The 20,274-nt window shown below is 36.8% G+C and overlaps 1 protein-coding gene across 14 annotated transcripts in view; it reads right to left on the bottom strand.

The window, feature by feature from the left end:
- Window positions 1-20,274, bottom strand: part of CTNNB1 (catenin beta 1) — a 40,939-nt gene that overhangs the window by 17,542 nt on the left and 3,123 nt on the right. For 2 of the 14 annotated variants that reach the window (XM_024453356.2, NM_001438873.1), the window contains exon 2: window positions 557-568. The exons of 10 other annotated variants lie outside the window; for them this stretch is intronic. The gene's annotated coding sequence lies outside the window, so the exon portion shown is untranslated. Of the gene's footprint in view, window positions 1-556; window positions 19,846-20,274 lie in introns of those variants that run through there. 2 more of the 14 variants (XM_047447482.1, XM_047447479.1) reach the window with 1 other exon arrangement.

Genomic DNA, 20,274 nt, shown 5'->3' with positions numbered 1-20,274 from the left:
TTCACCACCTTTCTGAAAAATTGGTTCCCCACTCCAGCCTCCAATGTATTTCTGCAAAAGGAGACTCCAAACATGTTCTACACTGAGCTTCTCCTTTGGCCAATGTCAACAGACTCAGAAACCAACTGGTCATGTCTATAGGCTATATAGCTATTTCAGAAGTGCTTTGATACATCCGGCTTCCAGGAACATTTTTTTATAGTACTGTTTTTCCTTGTTGTTGATGCAAAGGCAAAACATTTACGCATATTACTGGGTAAACTCTGTGTGGGCTGACCTAGTAACTTGACCGCAATTTATAATGATTTCATTTTTACAATGGAAAAAAGCAAGTTCATGTTCCAAATTTACAATAGCCATTTGTACACTGGGACTTCCCAACATTACATATATATTTTTTAGCTTTTAAAATTTATGCAACATAAATAAAAATTCATCTTGCTCTTCACTGCAACCCTATGAGGTGAAGGAGGGTAAAAACCTATCAGTAGATAGAGAAGTAAAAACAAAGGGTAGAAATGGGGATCTAATTAGGTAACAGCATAGACTCACTCACCTTGTACCTGCTCTGGAGGCAGATCCACATATGCCAAAAAACTGAGCATTAACTGCTAAAGAAATCAAATAGACTGCCAAGCAAGACCTAGGGCAGAACCCTGCTCCGGAAAGGAAAAGGAAAGCCTTCCTCTTTCTTTTTCTGGCCTGAGCCTTTGGACTAAGGGCTGTCTCTCCTCCACCACACCCTGCCAACCATTAAGGGCCCAATTCTAGTGCTCCCAATTAGCCAAAACTTACCAATCACTTCAGGAAAATTTTTTTTTAAAGCAACGAAAAAACTGACTCCATAGAAACTGAGATAAAACTTGAAACTAGGGATAGGGTGGAGAGAGAAACAGAACACTTCAATTTAGTATCTCCATAAATACTGGAGAGAATAAATAAAAACAAAAAGTTGAATAGAAACTAAAATTGAGAAAACTGCCTAGAGTACAAAAAAATGACAAAGACAAAAAATACAACAGAAGAAATCACGATCAATTCAGGAGATCAAAGGTCCAACCAGTAGACATTTCAGAAAGAATTATGAAGAAACAAAAATGATAAAATCCACTAAGTACCAATCAAGAGGGAGGAGTGCTTAAAAATTATGAAGTACAATCATGCACTGCATAAGGACATTTCAGTCAAGATGGACTACATATGCTACAGTGGCCCCACAAGATTTTAATTCTGTATTTTTACTGGATCTTTTCTATGTTTAGGTAAACAAGCCAGGCGAAGTGGCTTGTAATTCTAACACTTTGGGAGGCGGGTGGATTGCTGCAGCACAAGAGTTCCAAGACCAGCCTGGACAACACAGCGAAATTCCATCTCTACAAAAAAATGTTAAAAATTAGCCAGGTGTGGTAGTATGTGCCTGTAGTCCTAGCCACTGGGGAGGCTGAGGCAAAGAGGATCACTTAGGAGTTCAAGGTTATAGTGAGCTATGATCACACCAATGCATCCAGCCTGGGCAACAGAGCAAGACCCTGTCTCTTAAAAGAATTTAAAAAAAAAAAAAAGGATACATAAATACCACTGTTTCAACTGCCTATAGTAACACGCTATACAGCTTTACACCCTAGAAGCAACAGGCTATACTATATAGGCTAGGCATGCAGTACACTATGCCATCTAGGTTTGTATAAGTACTACGCTAAATGTTTCAAGACACAGATTATCATTAAACTACAGACTACATTAGAATGCTGTGTTTTCCAACAGCTTTATCACCACCAAGTGATGTTTTGACAAAGAGGGGGCTAGCCAACTTCTCATGTATTTTCCATCCAGTCTAATGCATCCATGCATCTTTTTTTTGGCAATATGAACATAATACTCTTTCCAACTACAAGGATACTTCAAAATTCACCGTGCTATTTCCGATTTTAACCCTATAAATGTCTCCAGTCAAAGTCAATGGGAGAAATCTTGCCACAACTAATATATAATAGATTTCACACTGAAGTTATTTTTCCTCTTCCCATCAGGACAGAATTATCTTAATTACCTTAGTTTTCAGTAAGTTTGAGTATTATTAACTAGGAGTAAATCTGCTACATAAAAATATAAAGCAGACATATTTTAAAACCACAGTTTTATACTAGCAATTCATAATTCACTTTTCCAATAATCAAGATCCAAAGAATTATTCCCCGTTTTAAAGTTAGAAAGTGCTACTCTATTTCATAAGCATGATAAACTTTTGATACACCTTCAGGGATTTTTAAAAAGTTCTTAGTAAAATTTGTAAATCTAAAAACACATGCATATGCATTTTCATTAACTGTCACCAGTAATACTTTGCCATCTAGAAAATGTATGCAATTTCCTCAAATCTTCCTGTTTTAACACACTTCATGCAACACTAACATTTTAAGTTACAACTCACTCCAGGTTCTTTTCTGCTTTCTTCCTTCACAGCTTTCTTCGGGGAGGGGGGTGGGGTGGGTGGGTGAGGGTGTGGGTGTGGGTGTGGGTGTGTGTGTTCTCAAGGTGTCTTGTCATCCTCGAATAGTCAATAAGCATCAAACATCAAATGACCCTTGGTCCTCCAAACACTAAAATGTATGCCTTTGGTACTGTCTTTAAATAGGTACACAAATGGTTATTAGAAGTATGAAATCTTCTCAGGTAGGAAACAGAAGGTAAATGGAAAAAAAAAAGAAATAGGAAATCTCTTTATGGCTGGGAAAAATTAGTATGTTTCCAGAATGAGCTGTTCTTCATAACTGTCTTCCTTCCTCAGCCATAAATATATGCCTCAAATAAATTAATATTTTTATTTATCATCTCCATCATATGAGTCCACCACACAGTAAATGATGACATTTTGGTATGTTTGGTATATTAAACTCACTGCTATGTATTTTTAAAAATAAAAATATAAAATTCCTTGTGAAGACTATTATAAAATATTATCATCTGGATTGTATCGTATGTCTATACTATAAGCTACCTCCTCCATTCTGAGCTTGTTCTTCCCCATTTTGTCTATTATTCCAACAATGCTGCAATAAACACCTTTGCATATAAATAATTCTCTTAATTTCCCATATCACCAGAAGTTCTAGAAACACTGTTACTGAGTTTAAGGGTAAGAATTTTAAGTCCTTTCATGCATAGCTCCACAATACTGACAGATCATAAACTGAGATAATTTTCACAGAACATATTGAACATGCTGCCATCTTACCAAGGGCTTGTCAGCACCAGCTGTTATCTGACACAACTTTTAATAGATATGTCCACACATCTAACATACATACCATCACCCGCCCATCCTACAGGGTTTTAAATTCCAATAAGTTCATATGCTTATTTATTTGCTACATGTAATGTAGGCTTTTGGCTTGCCAGATTTTTGATGTCATCCTTTTATATTTTTGTGAAGTACATGTATACAGTATACATAAAAAGCCCCTTGATAGTCATTGATATAGCACATATAGGCCAACTGGATGTCTTAGAATATAATTTTACTGTTTAAAATAATTAGATTATGGTAACATCCTTTGCATGTGTGATTTATTGTTAGTCTCACCAATGAGTAACTCCACACAGCATCTTTGATCAGTAACATAATCCTAAAATAAATACTGGTACTTCAGGGGAAAAAAAAGACAATGTTTTTAAACAATCTTTCACTCCATCTCCAAGAACATATTATCACAAAAAGCAGACTGTTTTTCTCCAACTTATATTAACATAAGCAGCCAAAAAGACTGATAATGTTAAAGCACAGCTATCTCCTTTAAGATACATCCTGAATAGGCTTTATCTCAGAGGCACATTTTCTAAATAATTTTCACAGAATATACTGAATTTCCAAAATATAATTTTATACCAATTAAGTTAAAAAACAGAACAATGCTTCATATAGTTTATGAAGTAAAAGTATGCAAAGAATATACACTAGCTTCTTAATAGCGGGCTATCAATACAGGAGGCCTGGGGGCAGCAAAGGGAATAGGATGGAAAAAAGTATTAAATATGGCTGCAATTCGGCAAGGTGTGGTGGCTCACACCTGTAATCCCAACACTTTGGGAAGCCAAGGCAGGTGGATTGTCTGAGTCCAGGAGTTCAAGACCAGCCTGGGCAACATGGTGAAACCCTGTCTCTACTAAAAATACTATTTTTAAAACTTATTTAAAAATTGGCTGGGTGTGGTGGCATATGCCGCTGTAGTCCCAGCTACTTGGGAAGCTGAGGTGGGAGAATCATCTGAGCCCAGTGTCCTGCGACACTTTTATACCCATTTTATGTGGATTTTATAGTATGATAAGGCTGAACAGAAAACAACTCTTAGTTTAACCAAATTTTTAATAAAACTGGCCATATCACAATTACATACAAAAACTATTTTCCTATACACAAATAGGACAGATTTCATTCATAACAGTAAAATGAGATACATACGAGAGTAAATGGGAAGATATGTCTTGTTCTTGATTTAAGAAGAACTATAAGGAGGAACCAGTTCCATCACATTTATAATGTTATCATTAAGATAACATTATAAATCAACAACCACAGCAATTCAAGTATTGTATTATTAGGAAAGAAATGGGTAAGAGACTGTAGTAGGCAGAAAAACACCCAGATATAATGTGGCAATTTCATAAATGAAGAAGGTAATATTTCAATTAGTGGATTACTTGATTAAAAGTATTAGGAGAAATGGGCTTGTAATTCCAACTATCATTTTTCATCCTTATTTTACATTAAAATTAAACCTATATTCACCAAATATTTACACGTAAAAAAATAAAATGAGATAAAATACGGGTATATATTAAGAATAAAACCATGCCCAATCGATGAACTGATTAAGCATGAGTCGAAATTGAAACCAAAAAGGGAAACATGAGATAATTTGTGTATGTAGTTTTTAAAATCTGAGCAACAAATCACATTTGAAGTAATTCAAAAAATAACATACTAGAACATCCGTAACATAATTAAAGGCTAATATCCATAGTACACAAAAAACTGGGAACAAGTCAAAAAAAGAAAGAATCATACTGCAGGGAAAGAACAAGAAATAACATTTCAAAGGAAAAACATAAAGTGAGCAATGAATATATACAAAGGATGTTTAAACCCATTTACTTTTTGCTTATCAGATTGGCAAAGATTGAAAAGATTGATAATATCTACTGCTAATAAGGATATGGTGAAACTAGCAGAAACTTTTGATAGTAAGCTGCCACTATCCATTAAAGTGTAACTACCCTTTGACTTAAAAATTCAATTTTTATAACAGAAATGTATTCTGTGGCAATACTGTCAGAAGCATGCCAAGTGAGGCATTCATAGAGAAAAAGATGGAAATTATTCAAATGTCCATCAACAGGAGACTGAATAAAAAATAATTTATCCATTAAATGGAACATATATTCACCCACTGAACAAATTTTAAACACCCTTTGTTACTGGTATTACAATAACAATGAGTAAGAGAGTCAACAAGATCATACATACAGTGAAGCTTATATTCTACTGTTAGGGAATTAAGCAATTTAAAAGAAAATTTAGAGTAAGAAATACTAATAAACAAGTTTATGAGGTAGAAGATGTGCTACTCTAGTGGGTGGTCAGGGAAGGCCTGTGAGGAAGAGACATTTCATCAGAGGAGGAGCAGCTGGCCACGTAAAGATGGGGCAGAACACTCCAGGCAGAGAAAGAGTGAAAAGTAAGGAATGAACTCAATGTGGTAAAGGTTTTGAAAGGTCACCAGTGTAACTAGAAGGCAGAGAACCATGAAGAGACAGAGATGAGAATCAGATCAGTAAGGATGTAAAATAAAATCCAAAGTGTACTGGGATGCCCATGAAGCAATGTGATGTATGACTTAGGCTTTCTAAAATTCACTCCAGCAGCTATAAAGGGGAAAAAAGACAATAAGGGGCAATAGCAAAGTAGAAACACCATTTAGGAGGTTACTGTAGTTGTCCAGGTGAGCGGGGGATGGTGGAATACCATATAGTCATTAAAGAGAACGAAAAAGGTCTACATTAAAAAAAATTTAACATATATCAAGTATGCAAGGCATCTGCATACCTTTGTACATATATTTTTGCATACATTTGCAGAACCAAATACATAAATTATTAGAAATATCTGTCCGAGAAGTTAGCCTATATAATTTAACCCTATATAGGTTAGCCAAATACTGAAATATAACGTTAAGGAAATGTTTCTAAGCATAAAAGCTAGATGGCCTATGAAATGGACTTTGTACAAAAGAAATGTGGCAACTACTCAGTCAACCATCTTGCCTCAAGGCAAAAACAAACTGCTATAAATAAAAAAAGTGGTAACCAATGTTTTCTAAAGCAAGGAAATAGTACTACAAATTTTTCAATATTTAAGCAAATGTCACTTTACATGTGTCAATAAATTTTCTATTTTAGTAATTTAATAACTATTTCTTCATTCCTAGCTCCTATTCTGTTAAAGTGACAGTATTCTAAGAATCAACTGCATTACAAAGTCACTAGGTTTCTGAGTCACTTACAGCATCTTTATATCTTTTACAGCATAATTTTAGGATACTGCCTTGTGGTATCAGCTAAACACTGAATTCTGCCTTTGACATACTTTAACAAGGTAGCATAATTAAATTCCTAGCAACTTCAGTTCTGAGCCTAGTATGTTATCTCATTGAATCTTCCTAGCAACCTCATAAAGAAGACATCATTCCTCATATCACAAGAAAACTGATTAGCAGTATTAATGTAAGAATAGCTAATAAACCGTTCAGTTAAAATTCAAATCCAGGTCTGCTTGTGGCTCAGTCATGTACCCTTTCAATCTAATCATATTTCCACCCCCCATACCAAAGTTAGAGACAACTGGTAACAGTCAGTGTTGCAGATAAATGAAAGACAGGGGTTAGCCAATTTTATATAAAGGTATCACATGTAATAGTAAAGAACTATATCCTTTCAACAGTGACTACAGCCCAAAAAAACTTTTAATACTTGAAATATACACCATACTTTGACTATATGCCTAGCTAGACAGTACTAGATATGCCAAAGAAATTGAAGATTTTATTTCAAAAAAGTTTCTACATGTTAATCTCTACATTCAGACTACAGGCAGAATTAATGGCAGGTACTCAATGACTTCCAAATTATATCCCATAATGATAACCTTCCTCTACTCGACGTGTTGTAAGAGTTTCCCTTCCCCACTATACCAGCACGCTGACCTTTTAAAGAAAGAAATTTTAAAGAGCCTAATGAAGTGAACTCTGTGAGGGCTGAGACAGTACATTTAGAAACAGCTTCTCGCTTAATATATGCTTTGGCATATATTAAGCTCTTAAATACCTGATGAACTGAATGTGCTAATAAAAAATAAAATGCTCAAAATGTGAACAGGAGAACACACAAAATGTAATATGGAGGCTTGGAGAGCTAACAACAATTATTTATAACCTAAGAGTGTTTTTTTTTTTTTTTTTTTTTTGAGATGGTGTTTCACTCTGTTGCCCAGGCTGGAGTGCAGTGGCGCGATCTTGGCTCACTGCATCCTCCGCCTCCTGGGTTTAAGCAATTCTCTGCCTCAGCCTCCCGAGTAGCTGGGATTACTGCCCACCACCAACCCCAGCTATTTTTTTTTTTTTTTTTTTTTTTTTAATGGAGACAGGGTTTCACCATCTTGGCTAGGCTGATCTTGAACTCCTGCCCTCGTGATCCACCAGCCTCGGCCTCCCAAAGTGCTGGGATTACAGGCGTGAGCCACTGCGCCCAGCCAATTTATAACCTAAGAGATTCTTAAATGCCTTCAGAACCACGAAAGATTCATTTATGAACAACATATAGCTAGAATAAGGTTCAGGAAACTTTTTCTGTAAAGCATCAGAAAGTAAATATTTTAGGTTTTGTGGGCCATAAACTCTTTGTCACAACTACTCAACTCTGCTATTGCAGTGAAAACAGCCAGAGAATATGCACACTTACATAAGCATGGATGGCTGTGTTCCATTAAAACTTCATTCACAGAAACTGAAATTTGAATTTCATATAATTTTCACGTCACAAAATAATTATCCTTTTGATTTTTTTTTTTAGCTATCCAAAACGATTCTTAGTTCATAGGCCATAAAAAAACAGATGGTGGGCAGTAGTTTGCCAACCCCTCATTTATTTATTACATACTTTCACTGAGAACAAAGGCAGGTGTATTTTTACATTTGAATTAAGCACATTAAGCCTAAATGTGAAGACCTGTAATAGAAAGGGTTTTTAAGTGGGTTAATATGTTACTAAGAGAAATCACAAAGTGTTCCCCCCCGTAAGTATCTTCAAAACAAGAAGCTGGACCAAATCACACATGAAAGCTATAACAAGACAATTTATTTGGGAAAAACATTTCAGGCCATTAAAAGCAGTATGTGCTAAACCAGAATTCAGCCACAACATATGCATGATTTTTAAAATCTTTTTTTTTTTTTAACTATAAAGACCTACAGGCTTGAAGGTCCCCTTAAACTGGCAATCAGATCCTCCCAATGGTTCTTAACCAAGGGTGTTAATCAGACTAACCTGGAACATCTAAAAATACAGATGGCCAAGAGGTTCTCTATCAGAGGGGCTGGGGAAGGGCCCTGGCATTGTATTTTTAATTTACATGTCACAGGTCGCTGATGCTGCTCCCCATAGCTAAGGACCATAGCTAAAGTCAAACCATATGATCCAAACTTCATGTGTGCCATCAGGAAATGAACCCAAGTTAAAGAAGAAAAAACCCTGACTGGACAGAGTAACCACTAGCGTAAGCTCCTTGAGAAGCATCTATTTGTTAAGACAACACAGATTCTTAAACTTTTGAAACCTTCTGTCCCCCACCATACATGTCAAGTTTATGTTATTCTTCCAAACAGAAAGACATTTTGCTGCCTTTGACAGCCTTACTCTAGTAATAAGCCTCATAATTATGAGGCTCTCTTACATTTAGGAAAAGAAGATTACAGAAAGAGTAAGCTAGGAAGCTTCTATTATTAAAATGTGACTGCTTTTCGTTATTTCAATACAGAGCTTTAAGGAATATTCCCTCATCTTTGTTCTGAGTCCAAAAACACACCAATAAATGAGTCATAATCTCCAACTATACATGAATGCTCCAGTAGTATATATTTTTTTGTTTTCTCAATTTACGAGATTGTGATATTAATCAAAAGGGATATTTCTGTTCCATAAGAAATCTTTTCCACAACTCCTTTTAGTTTCAGGTCATAGCAATACCAATAGCATAAATACAATGTACAGACTTTCATTCAACAAATATTTATGCATCAGCTACATGCCAGGATCTGTAATAGATTCTGGGTGTGCAGTAGTGATTACTGCAGAATGCAGACATGGTCCCTGCATTCTTGAGAGGGAGACAGCAACCAAATAAACAATTACAAAAAAGTATGTAACTAATTAACAAGTGGGAGAAGGGAGTGGGATTACACAGCAGAAGTGGAAGGAAGGGCCCACTTAGAGTGGTCAAAGGCTTCTTGAAGGTAACATGTAAGCTGAGACCTGAAGAAGGATGCAAAAGGGCCAGCATGTAAGGAACAGAGAATAAACATCCCAGAAATAGAAAATAACACACAAAAACCTAAAGTCATTAAAGAACATGATCATCTTTCAAGAACTAACCCTTGAGATCAGAGTAGTTTGATTATAGAGGAAAAGGGTGAGTGCAATGAAACGTTAAAAATAGCCAGATCACGTAGAGCTCTCTAGCCTTTGGTAAGAAAAGTGTTTTCTGTTCTACGTGACACTGAAAGTCATGAAAGGTTTTAAGCAGGTGAATAACACAATCTTATTTGAGTTTTTAAAATCTCGTGCTGACTAAAATTCAAAAAACTAGAAGAGAACAGGAAAGAAGGGAAACCTGTAAGGCAGCTATAGCAATATTCCAGCTGATAGATGGTGGTGGCACTAGGGACAAGTAGTAGTTAGACTAAAGAAATATTTAGGAGGTAGAAACAACAGGCGCTGTTGATGTGATGAACTGGATATAGTAGATGAGAAAAATTAAATAACAGGAATAAAGATGACTCCTACCTATCTGGCTTGCACAATTAGATTGTGATACTAAATGTAGTGCCATGTAAGAAAAACAGGAGTTTCTAAAACTGTACTCTCCAACATAATTGCCACTAGTCACACAGCCACATTTCAAATGTTTAATAGGCATGGGTAGCTGGTTGCTACCAACTGAACAGCACAGATACTGAACATTTCCACTGTCTCAGAAAGTGTGGATTACTGGACAGTGCTGTGCTAGAGGTAAGAAATGTGCCAAAGGCAGGGGTCAAGACTAAAATTATAAAGTATCCATTTGGCCAACATGTAGGTCCAGTGGTGAAGTCAGCAAGAGCAAGTTCAATGGAATTGTATTAATAATAGTAATATAATGGAATAGTATATCACAAACTGGGATGAGAGTGATAAGTGGAACCATATACATAGGACATCTTTCAGGCCGTGAAAGGGAGAAGAAAAATAAGTGGAGGGGAAAAAAAAGGTTGGGTGATTCCAGAATATTCATTCAACAAAACTTTATTGAACACCTGTAAGTTCCAGATATCTGGCTGTCCCGCTATCAGGGATACAAAAACAGGGCAAGGACCCTCAAAGGGGTAAAAATAAGTAGCCAACTTTCAGATTATGATTAGATACCCCAAATAAATGAAAATCATATGACCAAGTGCAACTGAGTCAACAAGGAAGATCTCAATGGGCAAAACATCTGACATCAGCCATGAAGGCTTCATCAGTTTGAGGAAAAACAAAAAGGCTGAAGAGTCAGAGGAGAAAAGTAACAGGTGATGAAGGATATGGTCTGACTATACAGGAGCTTGAGCTTTTACTGAATGAAATGGTAAGCCCTGTAAGTTTCTGAACAAAAAAGTTACACGATTTATTGTTATAAAAAGGGTTACTCTGGCTACCATGTTGAAAACACATTTAAGGGGGAAAACGGTGTAAGCAGGGACACCAGTTAGAAGGCCTTTCCAATAATATAGGCAAAAGCCATCCATAATAGCAAAGATACAATCAACCCAAATGCCCATGAACGGTAGACTGGATCAAGAAAATGTGGTACCTATACACCATGGAATATGATGCAGCCTATAAAAAAGAACAAAATCATGTCCTTTGTAGCAATGTGGATGCAGCTGGAGACTATTTATTGTAAGCAAATTAACACAGAAACAAAATCAAATGCCACATGTTCTCACAAGAATGAGCTAAACATTTGGTACACATGGACATAAAGATACAATAGACAGAGACAAGAACAGGGAGGGAAGGAGGAGTAATGTTAGAACGTTATCTATTGAGTACTATGCTCACTACCTGGGTGACTGGTTCAACTGTATCCCAAACTTCAGCATCATACGATATACTCTTTCTAACAAACCTGCACATGTACACCCTGAATCTAAAATAAAAGCTGAAAAATAATAATACAGGCAAAAGATGGCATGGCATGGCATGGCTTCAGTGAGAAATGATTAATATTTTTGGATATGAAGACATGCATCACATAAGGACATTTCAGTGGATGATGAACTGCACATACAACAGTGGTCTCATAAGATTATAATGGAGCTGAAAAATTCCTATCACCTAGTGATGTTGTAGCCATCGTTAACGTCGCAGCACAATGTTCTACTCATGGTGTTTGTGGTGATGCTGGTGTAAACGAAACCACAGTAGGTTTACTGTGCTTCAGTTGTATAAAAGTACAGTGGGCCAGACATGGTGGCTCTTACCTGTAATCCTCGCACTTTGTGAGGCCAAAGTGGGAGGATTACTTGATGCCAGGAATTCAAGGCCAGCCCTGGCAACAGAGTGAGACCCTGTCTCTACAAAAAATTTTTTTTAATTAGCCAGGCATGGTGGGGTGCCTGGTGTAGTCCCAGCTACTTGGGAGGCTGAGGTAGGAGGATCACTTGAGCCCAGGAGTCTGAGGTTACAGTGAGCTATCCTCGCACCACTGCACTCCAGCCTGGGTGACAGAGTGAGATGCCATCTCAAAAAAAAAAAGTATAGCATATACAGTTATGTCCAGTACATGACACTTGATAATGATAATGATTGTTACAGGTTTATGTACTTACTATACTTTTTATCATTAGAGTGTACTCCTTCTGTTACTTCTTAAAAAAAAAAAGTTAACTATAAAACAGCCACAGGTAGGTCCTTCAAGAGGTATTCCAGAAGGCACTGTTATCACAGGAGGTGGCAGCTCCATTTATGTTTACTGCCTCTGAAGACATTCCAGAAGGACAAGATGTGGAGATGGAAATACAGTGATACTGATGATCCTGACCCTCTGTAGGCCTAGGCTAATGTGTTCATGTCTTAGTTTTTTGTTTGTTTTTTTTTGAGACGGAGTTTCCGCTCTGTCGCCCAGACTGGAGTGCAGTGGCGCTATCTCGGCTCACTGCAAACTCCGCCTCCTGGGTTCACGCCATTCTCCTGCCTCAGCCTCCCAAGTAGCTCGGACTACAGGTGCCCGCCACCACGCCCGGCTAATTTTTTGTATTTTTAGTAGAGACGGGGTTTCACCATGTTAGCCAGGATGGTCTCTTATCTCCTGACCTCGTGATCCGCCTGCCTCAGCCTCCCAAAGTGCTGGGATTACAGGCGTGAGCCACCGCGCCTGGCCCATGTCTTAGTTTTTCAACAAAAAAGCTAAAAGGTAAAAAGTAATTTTAAAAATATAAAAAAGCTTATAAAGATATAAAGAAAATTTTTGTACAGCTGTACAATGTATGTTTTAAGCTACGTGTTATTACAAGAGTGAAAACGTTTAAAAAATTAAGAATTCATAAAGTAAAAAAGTGACAGTAATTTAAGGTTTATTATAGAAAAAAGTCTTTTAAAACCTTACAAAAATGTAGTGTAGCCCAAGTGTACAGTGTTTATAAAGTCTACAGTAGTGTACAGTGATGTCCCACATCTTTCACGTTCCCTCAATCGTCACTCGCTGACTCACCCAGAGCAACATATCCTGCAAGCTCCATTCATCACAACTGCCTTATACAGTTGTACCATTTTTTATTTTTGATACCATATTTTTTACTGTACTTTTTCTATGTTTCAATACGTTTAGATAAAAATACCTACCTTTATGTTACAATTACCTACAGTATTCATCATAGTAATTGGCCACACCATATAGCCTAGATGTGTAGTAGGCTATACCATCTAGGTTTGTCTATGTATACTCTGATGTTCACACAACCATGATTATCTCCTAATGACGCATTTCTGAATGTATCCCCATCATAAAATGACACGTGACTTTATTCTGAAGGGAGAACAGACAATTTTTTGCAGAGAGAATTCAGATACGTGGTATGAGAGAAAGATGAGTCAAGAACTGCAAGCTTTTAAGCTAGGTAACTGGAAAGACAGAATTGCATTTCGGAAAAGACTAAGATGCAGCTTTGGGGAAAACCGGGAGGTCAGTTTAGTTTGAGAAGCTTCTTAGACATCCAAAATGCTGACCAAAAAATAGCTGGATACCAGTTTAAGGATACCAATTTGGAAATCGTTAGCAAACAGATGTAAATACCATCTGTATAAAGCTATGATACTGGAGTAAATATGCACAACAAAAAAAGATTCAAGGACTAAACCTTCAGCCACTCCAACAGAGGTCAGAAAGATAACAGAAAAAACAAAGAAGGAAATGCTAGTGAAGTAAGAGGAAAAGCTGCTAACAGACATGGTGGCCTGGAAACCAATGAAAAGGCATTTCAAGCAACTGTAGCAATGGTGCCAAATACTACTAACAGATTAAGTGAGATGACAACTACAAATTTATAACGTGGTGGTCACTGGCAGGGGTTCAAAAGAAAACGGGAGTACATAAAGCAATTTTTCAAGGTTATTTTGCGGGAAAGAGAAGCAGAGACTGAGGTGGTGAGTGGAAGGAGAGACGGAGAAAAAATTTTTTTTGTAATGGGATAATACCATGTTTGCTCATGGAAAGAGCCAGTAGAGACAAGAAAAGAGAGATACCACAGTAATATTCTTGAGAGCAAGAGGGGATGGAATCTGCTGTACAAATGAACTGAGTGGCCTTATCTTGGAAGGCTACAGTTCATCCAGTGACAGAGGAGAAGATAAAGGACATGGTCATAGATACAAGAGATCACTGGGCATGAAGCCAGGGAGGGACAAGATTGTTAAACGTGTATACGAGAAAGTGATTATAATTCAGTATGAAACTTCAGCTGTATAGAAGTGAGGGTGAGGAACAGGGAAAAGCTTGGATAGATAAACTGTAGGTCCCAATGGGATTGATGGGCTGTTGGAACTGACGTATTTACTAGAGGAATTAGAAAGTGGGATGCTTGAAATGAGATTGGGGGAAGAGAGCAGAGTTACAGATAAAAGACAAAATATTCTAGGATATGACAATGGGAATATGTAGTTGAGTTAGGGTAGAAAATAAGATCACTGGAGAAGAAATCAAGGAACTAAGAGACCAGGATATTGGAAGCATCTTCTACATCAAAATTTGTACCAGACTGTAAATCAACATATTGCGTCCTTCATCAAAATCTTGCTACAAAAAAAGTAAGCTAAACAGTAAACTTAGTGACACAGGTGACTTATATTCTGGCATAACTCCTTATCTTAATTCATACAGGTAACAGTTACCAGACCACATCTTCACTAGTATTGCTCTACATAGATACTGATGTCACCAAGAATTATGACAGAAATAAGAGACAGTGACAATGAGCCAAGAGCTAATGAAGTGAACAAAGAAGGATGTGAATGACCCAGGAAGGTTTGCAGGTGCTTGAAATAAAGACAGGCAGTGGGTGGTATAATTTGATCACATGAAAGTCAAAGCTTGAAGTTTTGGAAAATAAAGGTCAAGAAGTGACAATAAGGAACAAAAGCAGACATTTAGTCCACACACCTCCTAGTTCAGTGTTATAAGGTGTGCAAGAAGGGAAAAATTCACCACTTGAGAGAGCTGCAAGGGAAGTAGCATTCTTGGGGAGAAGGCTAGGTTACAGCTGGAATAAGAAAGAAAGGAACATTCACAAGATTGAGAATATAAAGGATTTTCTAACGACTGAGTTCCAGAAGTTACAATGAATGGATTTCAGATGATGAAAGGTGGGAGATGGGGACCAAAAAAAGCAACAGGATTAGAGTCTGGGGGATAAGAGTTAAAACAGAAGAGCCAGTGTAACTAAAGTAACAATGTCCTTGAAAAGGCATGCCTCAGGACTGGCCTCTGCCCAGAATGCAGTACTACTTCCTTCATTGTAAAGACAGACCATTGATGAAATCTGATGGTAACAAGGTGAAGGGGTTCCTACTTAGCTCCTGATGGGGGAGAGGAGAGGGGAAGTTCAGGAGAAAAGGGAAGGTATTAAACAGCCCTTCTGTCTTAGATCTTTTCAGACAAATGTAATAGAATCTGCAGCATAATGGCAATAAGGAAAAACCTGAGGCCCTTTAGCATATAATGAGGGCGCTCTTCAAGCATGAGAAGTATTCTTCTAAAAAATCAAATTTTAATTATTTCCCAGCACCCACTTATCAGCAACACCATTTTAACCATAATTAATTACTCTGCCTCAACGGTGACCCCTGATCTTCTGGCATTCCTAGATATCTCATCTGTAAACTTTCTAGCCTCTTCTTATTCTATGGGGAACAGAATGCTGACACTCTGAATCAGGACCCAGGAAAAACGACAGCACAATTAAGCAGGAAACAGTGATCAACGGGGGACAACTACGATATACAAAGTAACAAGATAGTTGGGCTTGAAAACTAAACAATAAAATTCAGCAAAATGCCAGAAAATTGATATACTAAATTTATAATCTATTTAAAGAGCGGTATGTCAGTGTATTACGTTTCCTAAATAGCATTCAGTTTGTAACTTTTGTATCTAAATGAACTATAAAGTATAAGCGAAGTTTGAGGACATTCTTTCAATGGCTCAGAAAGGAATTTAAGGGTCTACCCCAGCACTTTCCTACACAGGGGAATGAACTCCACTTGGAAGCCTCCAAAGTTACTTGGATTGAAAAATATTTCCAAGAATCCCTTGTTCCTCCCTTATACATGTGGCATTCATCTAGTATATGCAAAACTTCAAAGACACTCACTCCCTACACCCTTACCCCAAAACCACTTAATTATACTTAAAAAAGAGAGAGAGGGAGTACAGTTCCTAATCCCTATTACAGCTGTTCAGTTTACTTCACAGTAAAGGAAAATTAGGAGCAGTTTGCAACAACTATCCCCCAGTGTAGCAAACTACTATCACCACTTAAGATCATCTTCAAATTGCACTCCCAAGAAATTTTGCAGTAAATTTAACTTCTTACACATTTTTATATGGACATCCAATAAGGTATGCTATATATATGCACATATATATGCATATATCTATTTCTGCTATTACAAAACCCTGTTAGTAAGAGAAGCTTATCACACTAAACCTAACACTTCAGCTTTTTTGTACGTCTTTGGCTTCCAACTCAGCTACCAGCATTTAAGATTTATTAATCATAAGGTTTATATGCCATGTAGACTGATTAACTTGAACTAACTTAAAGTAGGTTAAAAATACCCCCCAAGTTTTAAACGGTTTAACATATCTGTTACAAGTCAGTTAAAAAGAATTAGTCCAGCAACATGTGAATTACTAAAACAGAAGTAAAACCGTGGGGATATTAGTGAAAAAATAAAAATATGGAAATAAATAGGGGAGAAAATGGAAGTGTTATGAAGCAGTTTCACCCCAGCATCATTCAGATGTTCACACTCTTCAAACCATCATAAAGAGGGGGTGGAAAAGCCTTTTCAACAAGTTCAAAAGATACCAGAGGTAGGAAACTTCTGGGATATTACACAAGAAACTTTACAGTGGTTCCACGAAGTCTCATGGAGATTGTGGGATAGACTTGGGGTGAGACGCCTTTAGGATTAATGTTTCATGAATGGTTCACTGATCTGCTTGTATTTTACACCATCGTATCGTAATAAAAATAATTGCAGACTACAGCATTATTTTCAGATGATGCTTTTTAAACCAACACCGGCCTATGATTTACATTTTCACTCCAGTCACTTAAACACGGAGTTTGAAGACTAAACACCCCACTTTTCTTTCTTGAGATGGAGTCTCGCTCTGTTGCCCCAGCTGGAGTGCAGTGGCGTGATCTCAGCTCACTGCAACCTCCGCTTCCCAGGTTCAAGCAATTCTCATGCTTCAGACTTCCAAGCAGCTGGGATCACAGGCACCTGCCACCATGCCTGGCTAATTTTTGTATTCACCACGTCGGCCAGGCTAGTCTCGAACTCCTGACCTCAGGTGATCCACCCTCCCCAGCCTCCCAAAGTGCTGGTACTACAGGCACCAGGCCACCCCACTTTTCAAAATCTGGAAATACCTTGTTAGCAGCAAAAGATTTAACCAAAATCGATTTAACTGCCTACATAAACTTAAATTGGCCAAAAAGCCATTTGCCATTAATTTAAGTAAAACGTTTATATTCAATTAATTTTTAATTACCTAAACTGTTTTTAAGTTTTGGATCTAGTCTAACAGTAATAGTTTAGCTTAGAAATGCAAACTTCTGGTAAAAAGGACATGATTTAAAGACCAGTAAAATTGGGGGCTGACTTGAGTTGTATACACAGAATTTGTCCAGCATTTGACGTCCCTTCAGATTAAGTTTTGAGACCTCTTAAAAATACACTTAAAGAACTCTATTTAAGATGGTTGAGTAATAAGAAAGTTACTTCTCCCCCTTTTCCTTGAACCTGGCCATCTTAATTCCTAACTTTAAAAATGTGGGTTTCCCAGTCTTCACAAATAAGTTGATAATATAAATCTTGCTTTTAAGCTCCTAATCTATAATCAATTGACACAAGGCATTTCCCAAGTGCCTAAATAAATACAAACCTAATAATTTAACAATGTTATCTGCTAAATTATGTACATTCACAGAACCAGTCATTTCACAGAATCATTATGAAAACACTGTACTTCAAATGGTACTACTGCAGAGGGACAAACTGGCAGTATTCAGCAAATAAGTGTATTTAATTTGTGCTGAATACAGCATCTTAAAATATGAATTTTGTTCACCAACACTTGCAAATCAAGAGATGTACATTGATCTGGATTTCCCACTTAGGGGAAAGAAATCAGATGATCTGGCAACATAAACTATATTCCCACACAGTGGCTGGAGCTGCTTATGACTGGCTGCTTCATGTGCACTTCAATTTTTAATAGTCTGCATGGTCCCATTTACCCAATACCTAACTGGCCCTGGAGACATTTGAGTAGCCATTCCCACTACAATGTAGTAAGACCAATCCTATATAAGGCTTCTGAAAGCGATCTTATTCTTAGTAACATATCTTGAACATCAAATTGTAGTATGCTACATTAATGAAGGCAAGTAGCCCATTTCAAGAGACAAATTAAGTCCCCGGTAGCAATTTTTTTCAGTAAGTTGTATGTACATAATTTTTCAAAGAACTTTTAAGCCTACTCTCATTTCTCAGAAAACTCTTGAAAAATCAGAACAGAAGCTTATAGACAGTAAATGCTGTAAATACTAAGCACCAACTTGGAAATCACTGATTTACAAGTATGGTCCTTGATGGAGGAATATTTAATCCATCCTGAAATAATCATTCACATAAAGCACTTGAGGCATTCTTGCCTTTAAAAAAAAAAAAACCCTAACTATAGCAATACATTTCTTAAGTAGTAAAAAATCATATACCAATGTTTCCACAAAATTACACTGAATTCCACAGGCAAAGTAAAGCAATCACTGGTAAGTGTCATTTTCCGTCCCTACGCTAACGTTTTCATTCCAGCAACATATTCTGAAAAACAAATTTTTAAAAATCTAAACCCTGAAAAATTTCCATATGCTGACCGTTTAACTTCCAAAAACTAATTTAGAATAAGCTTCATTCCTGTTGCTAATTAGATTCTGATTTGAAACATGGATTTTCAGAAAATAATATTACTAACAGAAAAACCATGAACATAGGAGCCTAGAGAAAGCTTTTTAAGGAAAAATTCAAAGGGCAAAACACAGTTCATCATGGCCCACCACTATGTACAAATGAGACCAACCCTATGGTCACTAAGGGCATTATATTTTAGGTCACATACACTGGCTCAATTACCTTTATTTCTATCTATTTCCTAATATAATCAAGTTGAGCACTTATGTTTTACTCTGTGAATGATTTTAGACAAATTGACAATTCACATTTTCATTAATTTTTTTCTGAGAATTTCAGTTGCTGTAATTCATCAATATAACTGAATATTATGATCTTTTACCTCCTAAAGTACTATACTGAGATTCTGGTTTATCATTATGATATATTTAAGCAGAACTGCCTACTCAAAGTGACCTTAAAAAACCTCCCGACTTTTCTACTGCAAATATTGGCTGAGAAGACATTTTCTCAAGCCTGTATTTTAATTAGCAGTAATGATATTAATTATTTTAGAAATCAAAGGTTTCTTAGTTGATTCTCCCTCATCAGAACTATTCCTAAATATATCCCACATAAACTTGTTTGGAATTAAAAAAAAAAAAATCACAAGCATTATACTATATCCACTGGAGGGCACTCAACATGACCCAAGCATGCAATGAAAACATGCTCCAACACTACTCACTCTGCTGCTTCAGGCTTGAGGGAAACTTGGAGAGTGGGGAATGTCTCTTAACAGAAGAGATGCCCATGAGTTAAAAAAAAAAAAAAAAAAAAGTGGCTAAACCCTAAAAATGGGTTCCTAATGTGATTGACTTTATCTTTCAAGAGCTTATTTTTCCTTAGGAAGGAAGCAAATTATATGCATACTTCAAGGACAGCAGGGTTCAGGCCTCAACAGATGAGCCTAGGTTTCAAACTGAGTCAAGCTCAGTCTTGCATGAAACACAAAAGCAGCATTCTTAAGTAAACAGAGGAAATAAAGAACTTTCCCCTGAGTTTAAGTGATGAAAAACTATAGGAGTTAACTCCTATACTCATTTAGATCAACACAAATCATATTATTTTCCTTTTGTGAAACCTGAGTATTTATTTTAACCGACTGGTCCACTTACCTATCACAATCACAACTGCAATATTACATAAATAGTCTGTTAGAGAAGGACAACTGAATCTGCAAATCAG

The sequence above is a fragment of the Homo sapiens genome, chromosome 3, assembly GCF_000001405.40.
Source record: "Homo sapiens chromosome 3, GRCh38.p14 Primary Assembly".
In the NCBI taxonomy this organism is placed as follows: domain Eukaryota; kingdom Metazoa; phylum Chordata; class Mammalia; order Primates; family Hominidae; genus Homo; species Homo sapiens.
This window is presented reverse-complemented; position numbering and strand designations above follow the sequence as displayed.